Raw genomic sequence first — 13,777 nt, 5'->3', positions numbered from 1 at the left:
CAAACAAACAAACAAAAAACACACAAAAAAAACGTATCCCCATATTTTATTTTCAGGTCTAAATTTAGGAAATAGTGTCAATTGCATGTTACCAACAAGAAAAATTTAATATTATGGATATATATATATATATGATAGCATTTCTAGCCTGGACCCAGGAACTATTGAAAATATACTTTATAAAATATTCCAATTCCTGAGCCTTGAAATTATATGGAAAATTTGACTAATAACAGCAGACAGTTGTAAATAGAATCTATGAGAGAATGTGCCTAGTCTGAAAACTTTTTTTTATGTGAGCTTAAGAACAGTGATAAATTAATGAGGTTGATATTTAAGATCATAATTTAACTTTTCTATAGATTTCTAAGTGTCACTTGCCTGGTTTTCAAAATGCCAGCACTGTCTTCCCTAAAAACAGATAAGCCTCTCACACTTTAATGTAAATTTGGGTAAATATTTTAATTCCTCCAAGGATATTTGCATTTTAAACGGGACAGCATGGTCGTTAAGGTCCTGGAACCAAATTGTCTGGGTTCAAATTTCTTTGTCTCACATGCTTAATAAGGGACCTCCAACAAGTAACTTAATCTCACTTATCTTCAGTTTCCTATGCTGTACAATGAGGGTAATAATAGTTGTTGGGAGGATTAGGTAAGTTGATAATGTGTGCTGCACTTAGTACCTAGCATATACTAAATGCTCAATAAAGGCTATTGTTAAAATGTGATTGTTATAATAAAATGAAAATGAAAGGCAATGCCCTCTTACAGAGATTTTTTTAATTGTGTAATGGATGGATAATGATTTGAGAAGGAAGCAAGAGCTGTTTTTTTGGGCCCCTCTGAAATAGCTACAAGGAAGTTGTATGTGCTGCATGTTGTGAACATTCAGGTTTGTTGAGAGAGGTCAAAGAACCTAGAGGTGAAAGAGAAATTGGTCTTCCTTGATGCTAAGGAGTTCATTGTGGTTTGTAGCATTAGAATGGGTGAATTGAAGACAAAAAAGCTAAGATTTAATAATTCTTTTATTGTATCAAAATAGTTTTGATTTTTTTTAGGGTGAAAGAACTATTTTCATATTTCAGACAATTGGGAAAATAAGGAATAATGTAAAAACAAAATTACATTATATCAGAGAAAATTCATTATTATTTTATACATTTTCATCCAGATCTCTATTTTTTTTTTTTACATAATTGGGATTGTAACTGTAAATATGGTGTAAAATATTCCATTTATCATTTAATTGATTTTGATCAGTTTTCCATAAGATTAATTAGTTAATGAGACTTTTAATGCTTTGTTGTCATGTGGATGTATTCCAGTATATGTGATGTACTGATTTGGCCATTCTTCTGTGGGTGAGCACTTAGGCAATTTCTAATGTTTTGCTGTAAATTATATCTGTATGCATAAAACTTTGTTTACTTCTTTGCTTATTTTGTAAAGGCAGATCCTTAGAACTGGAACTAAATCAAAGGGCATGAGCATTGCCCCTTAGGCTTTTGGTAACTTTCCATTGGCAGTATAAAATAGTGCTAGGCTCACTGTCCCTTTGCCAGGATTGAGCATTTTAACATTTGGCAAAACGACAGGCAATAAAAGGCATCCCTTTATTTTAATTCTAAACTTCTTTGATTTTTAGTGAAGCTAAATTTTTTGTATATTTTCATTTGTATTTCCTAGTCTGTGAATTTTCTGTTCACATCCTTTGTTTATTTTTTGGGGGATATAGAATATGATTTTAAGTCCTATTAATATATTACAGTTTTCCTCATTGATTATACATATATTCTCAGTCTTTAATCTGCCGTTTAATTTTAAATTTATGCAATGTAAATGTTTAGGTTTACACTAAAATCTATATTATTTCTTTAACTTATTCTGTTGTTTTTGTATTCAGAAAATATAACTAATCACATATACCTTTTTCTAATTTTCTAAATTTAATGATTTTATTTTTTGTTTTACAATTACTCTTTTATTTTCTTGTTGTTTAATTTGGTATATAGTATATAGTATGAGTATTTCCCAAATAACTGTATTCCCCAATTCATTCATTAAATAACCCATCTATTATATATATATGATAGAATTTGTTTCAGGGTTATATTAAGTTGATTCCATTGGTTTTTATTAAATTGATCTGATTATTGATTCTTGCACCAGTACCATCATTAATTCAGTCCATATAGCTTCTTAATAAATCTTATTCAAGATGTTTCTCCCCCTACCTTTTTTTTTTTTTTTTTAACTTGGTGAACTTTAGACACATTATAAAATATCCAAAAATCTCCATTGGGATTATTATTGGAATAGCATTAACAACAACCAAAAAAGTTAACTAACAATATTGAAACCTGGCAACTTTGTCTTTTTACTGATATTAGTGGTATAATGTATTTTTAGGGATTCATGTGTTTTGCTAGCCTGTTGTATTAAGACAGAAAGCTGTTATCATGTTAAGGAATTACATACTTCTATTTTTTATTTCCTAAGAGTTTTTGCTGTTAAGTATTGAGTGGATTTTGGAGTATTTTAAAATGTCATTTTATCATCTAGTAAAATGATCATACTGATGTGAATTTTTAAAAATAATATATACACTAGTCATAAGCTCTCCTTAAGATTAGTGGATAAATCTCTTAAGATCCCGTTAAGTTTATCTGCATTTTGTTTAGGCTTTTGCCATCTGTATTCATACATGAGCTTGGTCTACATAGTAATCTTGCTGCCTCTTTGATCAGAACTTACTGTTTTAATCTGTTTTACATATTGAGCTTCCAAACATTTTTATTCTAAGAAAATATTATAGTTATAAATTTACTTAAACTTCAAAATCATCATCTATACTTTTTTTGCTGGTAAGTTTGTCCAGTTTAGCATCAGTATTAAACTAGCATAATAATATGAATATGGTAGCTTTCTTTGTTTTTTGATATTTCATTATCTTCATTCTTAGAAACTTTACTGGGGGAAAAATTTGGCTGCAAAGTGTAATATCATAACTCTTTTTTTATAGTTTTCCATGTATTTGTTTTTTCTAATATTGTCGCGTTTTGATGTTTTTGTTTCCAAAAATCTTTAAGCAAATTGAACCACTGTTTCTTGGTAAACCAATCATAGATAATTTTTCTTGATTAGTTACTTTGCAGGATGAACAGATTCCTGCTCCTATCTTGGCTCTGTCAACACTTCTATATTATCACAGTTTACAATGTTTATTTTCTGTATGGTTACTATACTTAAATCTTCCATGATTTGTCTATAGGTGGGCTTTAAAAGTTGAAACCAATATGTAATTGTGATATTTCTGCTCTCTGGGGTCCAGTGTCAGTGTAGATTTCAAATGGTCACTACGTTCATATACTCTATGACTTGCCTCTACGACATCCTCTCAGTTACTGTTAGTAACTCTCAATAAAATTATCGTTCTAACCATTTCCTCTTCCCTGTATACTTTCTGCCTTCCTTTTCAAACCTCGATTGTCTTCATAAATAAGCCTACTTTTTATTTTTTATTTTTAGATTTATTTTTTAATTTTTATTTTTAGCCTGTTATGTTAGGTCTCTTGATTCCTAAACTCCATATCTTTTTATTTCTTGCTTATTTTCAGTTACTCTCTAAATTGTATTGGGGACCATGTCAAGTAACTTTCTCAGTTACAGGCCATTTAAACCTTCTCAGATATTGCCTATCTGAAAGTATTGTTCTTTTCCCTCACAGCTGATTTATAGCAAGACTAAGCTTAACATTCAAAATGCAAAATAATTTTCCTTCAGAGTTTTAAAGTCATGTTCTGCTGACTTCTAGCATACAGTATTGCTGAAATTAGATCCTAGGCTAATTCATGTTCCTTTGAGGTAACGTGGTTTTTTCCTCCTCTTTATAAGTGTTATGGATCTTTTCTTTATCTGCAGTGTTCTGAAATTTAACCTTGACATTATAGATATGCATCTTTTTTCATTCATAAGATTTATCTTTTTCTTGTGTTCTAAGAAGTACTATGGTATTTCTTCAGTAATATCCTTCCTTTTATGCTTTCTTGTTTTTTGAGATGAACTGACAGGTTCTTAGACTTTCTGTTGTGATCATATTATATGCAGTCTTGATCTTTTCTCTCAAATATTCTGGGTGTTTCTTTTATATTCTATAAAACATTCACACCTTTTACTTTACATACTTAATTTCACCTTTTTTCAGTGATTGTATTTTAAATTTCTTTCCTTTTTTTTTTTTTTTTTTTTTTTTTTTGAGACAGTCTTGCTCTGTTCCCAGGCTGGTTGGAGTGCAGTGGCATGATCTCAACTCAGTGCAACCTCTGCCCCCTGGGCTCAAGGGATTCTCGTGCCTCAGCCTCCCAAGTAGCTGGGATTACAGGCACGTGCCACCACACCCAACTAATTTTTGTATTTTTAGTAGAGGTGGGGTTTCATGATGTTGGCCAGGATGGTCTCGATTTCCTGACCTCGTGATCTGCCCACCTTGGCCTCCCAAAGTGCTGGGATTACAGGTGTGAGCCACCACGCCCGGCCTGTATTTTAAATTTCTTGGGTTCTTTTGGTTCTCCAATTATTCCTTTTTCATGAGTGTCATATATTCCCTAGTGTAAGAATGATTAAGTCCTAAATCAAATATTTTAAATATCTCTTCCTTTCTACTAATAAATTCCAAAGTGCTTTTGTTGTTTATTTTTTGTATTGTAGGTTTTTCTCAGAAATTACGTACTCTACGGCTGCCCATCCTATTCAAGAATGAGGCAATAGAAAAGCATTTGCAAAAGTTAGTTACAAATGTGGGGCTTGACGTTGAGCTAAAAATAGCAGGTGAGTTGACTGCATTACCTTGGAAGACTGCTAAAGTCAAATGGGGAAGACTTCACTCTGGAATGCTAATTTCCATACCAGCTGGCCTACTTTTTTTTAACAGCTCGGACAATTTCTTTGGCAAATTTTTTTTTACATGAGGATAAATATGGGACTTGGGAAGCTGACTGTTTCTTACCCAGCACTTCCATGAGTACCCCTGTTTTCTGTCCCACTACTTACTTTTCCTTTTTGGTACCTAGTAACTCCTGTGCTGGAGCTCCGGGGAGACTGGCTCCCCATTTAGCCGCAGCCTTGTATGTTTATATATTAGCGTGTGGCTGCTTCATCAGTCATTGTAACTCCGTCTGCTTTCCATCTTCCAGAAACTTGGTGAAATCTCTTGTCCATTGATGGTCTCCCTCTTTGATTCTTCAGTGTTTGGTTTGCAACATTTAGAAAATGCTTTTACTCATCTCAGTGGAATTTCAGAGGCGATAACTCCAATCAAATGATTGTGTTTAGGTCTCTAGCATGCTGTGCAGACATATTCACTCATATTCTTGTTCATTCATTCAAAACATATGCTTGTCATGTCTACCATGTGCCAAGCTGTTTCCAAAGATAGAGGTTTGAACTGAACTTGGAAAAATGCTTGCCCTCATGAAACTTTCGTTTAAGTGGGGCCTGGTAGATAGAGAATTTGGAAATAGGCTCTCTAGTGAAGCTAATACAGGATATCATGGCCACACTATTATTGAGGGTTGTCAAGGACACTCAGGCAGGATTTGACCCAAAAGAGATGAAGGTCCTGACTGTACTCCAGTATGGCTGCAGCATAATCAGATTTTCCTCTCTCTCTGTCACTGTCTCAGAAAGCAGCCTTCATCCTGTCCATGGGCCCAGATCACACCTTTGTACAAACGAGCTTTTCCCCCTTTTTTTCCTTTCATCTTGAACATTTCTTTTAGGTATACCTGTTATACAAAAATAAGATTGAATTTGTTTCTTAAGCCAACCTAAGTTTTTCTTTTCCCTCAACAGGGAATTTAACTTTACATGTATTGTCATAATTGATGCGTTAATTTTACTTGGCAGAAATTTTTTTATGTCTGCATTTTTATTTTTAATCCCTTTTTCTCTTCTTTTTTGTTGAAGGTATGTTTTTCTTATTTTATGTTTTCTTCTGTGGTTTGGGAGTTATATATTCTATTCGTAATTCTATTGGTGGATACTTTTAGGTTTTTAATTTTATACTTTTTGTTTGTTTGTTTTGAGAGAGAGTCTCACTCTGTTGCCCATGCTGGAGGGCAATGGCACGATCTCAGCTCACTGCCACCTCCGCCTCCCGGGTTCAAGTGATTCTCATGTCTCAGCCTCCCAAGTAGCTGGGATTACAGGCATGTTCTACCACACCTGGCTAATTTTTGTATTTTTAGTAGAGACGGGGTTTCACCATGTTGGCCAGGCTGGTCTCAAACTCCTGACCTCAGATGATCCACCTGCCTTGGCCTCCCAAAGTGCTAGGATTACAGGTGTGAGCCACCATGCCCAGCCTTAACTATATATTTTAAATACCATTTTCCCTTATATCGAAAATTAACAACACATCACCAACCATTTTATTATTGTAAATGAATAATTTATCATGCTTTTGTATTCCCATGACCTACTTTTAAACCTTTGTCAGTGTAGAACCAATATAGAACCATAATCATTTTTAATTTCTTAATTGGAAACATTCTTGATATGGTTAGGCTTTGTGTCCCCACCCGAATCTCATCTTGAATTGTAATCTCCAGATGTTGAAGGAGAGACCTGGTGGGAGGTGAATGGACTTTGGGGGCCTTTTCCCCCATGTTGTTCTCATGATTGTGAGTTTTCACCAGGTCTAATGATTTTATAAGGCAGTTTTTGCTTCTCTTGGACACTCTTCTCTCTCGCCTGCCGCCATGTAAGACATACCTTCCCCTTCCATCATGACTGTAAGTTTCCTGAGGCCTCCCAAGCCATGTAGAACTGTGAGTCGATTAAAACTCCTTTCTTTATAAATTACCGAGTCTCGGGTAGTATCTTTATAGCAGTGTGAGAACAGACTAATATATAATGCTAAACTACTAGATTGTAATAAAAAGATGGGAAACCTCTTTTGTTGTAGTGAACTAAAGTAACATTATTTACAATATAAACCTTGGTAGCATTTTAGTATATGACCTATAAGCACATGGGAATATCCAGTTTTATCTCTTTCTTTAAAAGAGATTAGAGAAACCTTAAGTGTTAATACATACCTTAGTTCTTAATTCTTGGGAAATAAAATGTAATACCAATAGAAATATTTTGTATGATTTTTAAGCATGTTTCTGTAGTACTACAGAGCCAAATATTATTAGGGTTTGAAAAAGGACTCTAACAATAACGTTAATTTGAAATTCTGGTTTAAGGTTTTAGACCAAATGAAGGGAACTTTAAAGACAAGCAGTTGTATTAAAACAACAGATAAAGCATAAATAGTTTTTAGGCAAAAGTAATGATGATAATAATAAAGGTAGTTTGCATCTCCCACACCTCCAAAAGTTGTTTTATCCATTTCCATTGTTACTTTAAAATTAATTTGAATTGAGCTTTTGCTGTATCCTGACAAGGGTGAAAGGGTTAAATAATTTTCCTCACTAACCACTTTTTGTGGATATCTGAGTAGCAGCTCCACTACAGGGAGATGTGTGGAGGTAGAGAAATATCAAACCAAGCTTTTGCTCTCTGTGGATAATAAAAATTACCCACTTTCTCACAGATGTCAAATCTGGCAGATTTCCATAGAAAATTTGGATTGAATGTCAACTACCCAAATTATTTTAGTGTCTGCTGAAGTGTGTGCTTGGCAGGGATTTCAGTAGGAAAATAGGAAGTGGGTTTGAAAACATTAATAATATCTGAATACAACTTCTTAAGCTGATTGTTCCATAGATGAACCAAAGCATATATTGTCCCTGCAAACCAGAGCCCTCCAAGAAGTCCAGGTGGACATATTGTTAAGGTTTCAAATATAGACGTTGAGAGGAGGGCATATTCAGGAAATAGGATTTGCTAGCATGCATAGATCTTTGCCTTCTTGAATAGTTTAGATTGGCCAGCTAACAAATAATATAGTCTAAATGGCACCAATACCATGTGGGCAATGAATCTGACTTAGGTTTTATTGTAAATCACATTTGTAGAAAGATAGATGTGGTTAAAAGTGTACTGAGGTTTGGTTAGAGGATCCGAGTTCTAGTTCTGACACTCACATTCAAAAGTCTCTATTGCGGCTGGGTGCGGTGGTTCATGCCTCTAATTCCAACACTTTGGGAGGCTGTGGCAGGTGGACCACTTGAGGTCACAAGTTCGAGACCAGCCTGACCAACATGGTGAAACCCAGCTCTACCAAAAAAAAAATACGAAATTATGGGAGGCTGAGGCGGGCGGATCACGAGGTCAGGAGATGGAGACCATCCTGGTTAATATGGTGAAACCCCATATCTACTAAAAACACACACACATAAAAAAATTAGCCGGGCGTGGTGGCAGGCTCCTGTAGTCCCAGCTACTCCGGAGGCTGAGGCAGGAGAATAGCGTGAACCCAGGAGGCAGAGTTTGCAGTGAGCGGAGAATGCGCCACTGCACTCCAGCCTGGGGGACAGAGCGAGACTCTGTCTAAAAAAAATAAAAATAAAAATTAGCTGGGCATGGTGGCACATGCCTGTAATCCCAGCTACTTGGGAGGCTGAGGTAGGACAATTGCTTGAACCTGGGAGGTAGAGGTTGCAGTTAGCCGAGATCATGCTGTTGCACTCCAGGCTGGACAACAAGAGCAAAACTCCATCTCAAAAAAAAAAAAAAAAAAAAAAAAAAAAAAAAAAAAAAAAAAAAAAAGTCTCCATTGCTCTAGCCCTTCATTTCTGCTTCTGTGCACCTGCGTCATCTGTATGGACATTTTCAGCATATCTTTGATCTTTGTTAATAAGGAAACACTGGGATAACTCAATACAAGATAAATCTTAAGTTAGTTTCCCATGAGAAGAAACAAAGCTCCTTTGTTTGAGGAAAATTAAAACTGCAGTATATCAGTAACAGAAAATGAGTTCTGAGCAGTCATATAATATTAAAGGATTAGCTTAATCATCACGTAATTTTTAAATTTCTATCAATGTCCTATTGTTATTCATCAAAAGTACTCATTCTTTTTTTCCCAAATGCTATGCCATTGTGAAATTTATTCATTCATACAACATATTTATTGAGCACCTACTGTGTCTGAGACGCTGTGCCAAATGCTAGGTAGTAGCAAAAAACACAAAACCTCCTGCTTTTCTGAAGTTTAAACTCTAAGAGGGGAAGACAGATGATGGAAAAACCAATGCAAGTAAAAAAGGCAGAGAGTGGTAGATGGAGAAAGGAAGACAGGTTGCACGTGTGTGTGTATGTATGAATGAGTGGGTGGGTAGACCTGTGTGTGTGTGTGTGTGTATGTGTGTGTATGAATGGGTGGGTGGGTAGACCTGTACAAACACAAAATTTTAAATAGAGTAGCTAGGAAAGGCTTTGCTGAGAAAGTAAGTGAAATTTAGGATGCCACCTGAAAAAGGTGAGGGCAGGAGTCATACCCGTATCTGAGATGAACATTCAAGGTAGAGGTCACACCAGTTGCAAAACCCTGAGTGGGAACATGCTGGATATTGTAAGGAAAAGCACAGCACCGCTTCATAACCTCGTTCAAAAAATATTTACTCACCAACTATATGCCAGACACTCATTCTTTTGACAAAGAAGCTTACAGTCTAGTAGGGATAGATAAACATACACAAGTGCGATCAAATGAAGGTATGTAAGAGTCATAAAGGTTTGTTAAGGGTACAGTGAGCCCTCAATTAGGATGTAGTCAGTTCTATATGAGGAGTTAGGAAGGATTTGCTACCATATTCGTTCCTCCTCCAAATTGCATCCTAGATTGTTTGTCTTAATCTTTTTGATCTTTGCAAATGCTCAGCTTAAGGAGAAATATTGTATGGCTTTAGATATATAAGGAATGGCATGAATATGATGGAGGATTTTTCTTTAGTTTTTTTGGGAGAGAGTAAGAAAAGGGAAGCAAATGTTTTACTAGGTACCCACCCACTCTGTGCCAGATGCTGTACAGAAGTTATTTTGTTCTCACCAGCTTGCCACATGAGTTTTAAGGTCCTTGTTTTAGAGATGATGAAACTTGGGCCCTGAGAGATAAGGAGGTTGTCCTTCACAGTTACAGAATGAGTAAATGCTTGAACCAGAATGGACTTAAAGTTTTTCTAACAAGTCTTAATAAATAGCAAATGCCAAGTACCGAACATCTTATCTAACATACACACACACGCGCGCGCGTGCACGTGTGCGCAACCCCTAGTATGGATAGTATTATCACCCTTACCTAAAGTGCTCTCTTACTTAATCCTTATTACAAGGCTGTGCAAGAATCTTTATTGCCCCCAGTTGGGAAATGGTTATCCATCTCATTCTGGAACTCTCATTCTTGCTAATTATGGGATTTATTTCAATTCTAACAACCCACACAGTGGAGAATGTCCTTTTTTATATCATATCTAAAACATGTCTTTTCCACTATCATGTAAATGCATGTTCCCCTTCTTCCTCTGTAGACACAGAATAAAGTTATTCTTTACTGTTCTTTATGTATTAGTATATGCTTTTGGGTGGCTCGGTTCTTCATTGAGGGGAAGCTCTGAGATCTTATTGGCAGTTGTCCCGTCCTTTTCTAAATCAAGGCTCATTGTGTATCCTGCCATCTTGGTCTTCCTGCTGCTTCTCTCAACGGTTCTTCCCTCTCTATTTTCTTTATGCAACTATCTGAGATGTCTCTGAAATATCATATCTGAGATATGATAAACATTGATTTGTTTAAAAATGTGTTAGGCACTAAAATCTGTCATAAATAAACTATAAAAGATTGCACTCATAATTTTCATCTATGGATATATATCTTTTAAATTTTTCATGGTATCAGCCCAACTGAAAGCCTACTTTTTCATCCTTACAGTAAACAATTTTAGTGTGTATAACTTTCTATTATGTTCAGTTAATGCTCTTTCTTTTTTAGGGTTTTTTTTTTAACTTATTTTTACAAATAATTTTTTAACCTGAAAAGTGCTGAGATTAAGTAATTTTTCTAAGGTGACACAATTATATGTCTGTGCTAGACCTGGAATTATCATGCCTTTTATTCAGGAAAGCAATATATCCAAATTCAACTGTTTGGTTCACTCTTGGTGCCTCATATGTTTATTAATTTCTGGTTTGTAGTTTAAGGAAAAAAGAGTAAATATTTACATTATAATATATGAGAAATATGAAACTTAAAAAGATTCAGTAAGTTTTCTAGGTCTAAAAGGTACTAACTAAAGTAATAACTAACCTTTATTGACTACCTCCCAGGAGGTAGGCATTGTGCTATATCCCATATGTATTAATTCGTTGAAACTTCATGATAACCCTATGAGGTAGGTATTGTTATTATTTCCTTTTTACATACAAAGAAACTGAGGTTCAGGGAAGTTAGGTAAGTTTCCTAAAGACACAGAGCTACTGAATGTAGAAAAGACTATGAGCATAGATAGTTTAGCTTTATCTTTTGGGCTTTTAACTACTATGCTATATATTTGTCACAAATATGAGAGGATATAGAGTTTTAAATAAGTATTTTAAAACAGGTAGAATGTCAGTACGGTTAACTTTTGTGATAAAGTATTGCAAAAACTTTTCTTTGTTTAAAAAAAAAAAGGAATAAATGTCGCAACTATATATAGAGTTGCCCACGTAAAATAGTCCTTCTAAAGAAGAATTTCAAGATCGAATAAGAGACAGATAGTTTGACAGACGTCTGATCAGAGACAGAAGATAGCTTGTCTTGGAATCAGTTTAATATATGTATCCATTTCTTTTCACCAAAGGCAATTTATGGAAATACAGAAATCTGAACCTTGATTTTTTTTTCACCCAGAAAAGTAGAACATTGTGAATATGACTGGGATTTTTCCAAACAAAACTTTTAATGAACTAATGTTATGAAAAATGCTGAATTACTAATTGCTACATCTCAAAACTAACTTCAAGCAAAATGACGTTTGAAATAAAATTTGAAGAAATATAAGACCCAATTCCATAATTATTTCTTCCTTTCTACTTCTTAGCAGCGTGGAGTATGAGCAACTGACAGCAAAGGACGATCCAGTCCATTTGCTTTCACTAAGCTGCCCTTGTAATTTGTGGCAGACATTGTTTATACATAATCATTTCTTACATTTATTTAATAAGTGAGGCATTCCCTGTATTTCTTAATTGAACATTTTCCCCAAGAAATTTAGAAACTTAGCTAAGGAAGTGACACTAGCTCTCCTTGTAAATTTTTGGCCTCTTCCTCCATCTGAAATATAAATAAACTTTATTGGTCTCCCCTGCCACCACCAAAAAAATTAAAACCAGCATACTAGGTACAATCCCTGCATTACACCTTCCCAATCCCAAGAACCAGCTATATCTGGGCTTGTGGCCTTTTTACCCACTATTCAATATTTCAGGAAGCTGTTTGCATTTTTCTAATATTTAAAAATGTAATAAAATACTCCCAACTTGACAGCAATTAGAAGGGCATTTTTATTTTCCTCATGAACACTTAAAAGATAGCAGTGATTTTTAATTACTTGGAATATTCTCTGTAATATATTAATTTTTAAAACATGTTATAAAGAGATTAATACATTATAAAAAAGCTGCTTTTTTTGTTTGACATTAAAAATGGTTCTTTGAAGTTACAGAAATGGTTTTAGAGTTTGAGTGTATGTGCTAGAAAACCAATATAACTTGTGTCTAGAATTTTGAATCTCACTCTGACACTAGTCTATCACTAATTATATAACTAACTTAATATATAATGTTATATATGTGCATATATATATATACATATATATATAATCAGCTACATACCCTTACCTGTTTATTTTGTTCTATCAACCTACCCTACTATTTTGAGAATGAATGAAATCATTTATTTGAATAATTTATTACATTGCCTTACCACAATGGTACATCAAAATCATTTTAAGGCTTAACTAGAACAGATTAATGACCTCCATAGGTTCTAAATGTGCAGGTTTGGTGTGGGTTCTGTGATTATGCATTTCTAACAATTTTCCAGATAATACTGATGCTGCTGGACCAGAGACCACACTTAGATAAGGGCTGTCTCATAAAATTGAATGAAATTGTTTTAAAAAAACAAAACAAAACAAAAAACCTTAATAAAATAGTAGTAACACATAGTTTGTGTTTGAATTGGGAAAAAGGCTTGATTTTAAATTTGAACCTTTGGGGTTATAATGACTAGAAAGTGGGACAAAAATAATGTTGGGAGATTATTTAAAAAACAACAACAACATTATTTGATACTTTGTCTGGTCCACACTCTCACTTCATCCTTTTGTGAGTATGGGTTTGATTTCTTCCTCAAGCTAAAGGTTGACTATGTAATGCAGAATTTCATTAACAGAGGTTTCTTGTTTGCAGATAGATTTTTTTCTTCCACTTTTAACTTGTTGTCAAAGGTATAACACAGAGAAAATGTGTGATAATTCAGTATAATGTTTGTGAGAAACGTCAGCTCACTGAGACACCAACATAACAGTTTCAGACTTTTTACAAGAGGAAAGAAAATTTAGGTCAGCCTGTAAGAGCAATCTATACTAGAAGGGATAAGAGGACACACTTACGTGTGCATACACACACATATTTTCAAAGATGCCATTATTTCCGTCATCTTCTGTCATAACAATTGCTCATCAGCAATAGTAGTTAGCACAGACTTTGTTATCTTTAGTTTTTATGCTTTCTAAATGCCTGTCTCCATCTAGGGGGAGGTGATTTTTTTAGCTTGTCATCAAAGA

General features: G+C 34.5%; 1 protein-coding gene across 20 annotated transcripts in view; it reads left to right on the top strand.

Annotated features, from left to right (window-relative positions):
• The window catches only part of SOX5 (SRY-box transcription factor 5), a 1,033,147-nt gene that overhangs the window by 226,545 nt on the left and 792,825 nt on the right, over positions 1 to 13,777 (top strand). For 3 of the 20 annotated variants that reach the window (XM_047429461.1, XM_047429457.1, XM_047429459.1), the window contains one exon: positions 4,710 to 4,829. The exons of the other annotated variants lie outside the window; for them this stretch is intronic. The gene's annotated coding sequence lies outside the window, so the exon portion shown is untranslated. The remainder of the gene's footprint in view (positions 1 to 4,709; positions 4,830 to 13,777) is intronic. 20 annotated transcript variants of the gene reach the window in all.

The sequence above is a fragment of the Homo sapiens genome, chromosome 12 (assembly GCF_000001405.40).
Source record: "Homo sapiens chromosome 12, GRCh38.p14 Primary Assembly".
Taxonomy (NCBI): domain Eukaryota; kingdom Metazoa; phylum Chordata; class Mammalia; order Primates; family Hominidae; genus Homo; species Homo sapiens.
The sequence above is the reverse complement of the archived record's forward strand: the minus strand, read 5'-3'. Positions and strand labels throughout refer to the sequence as shown.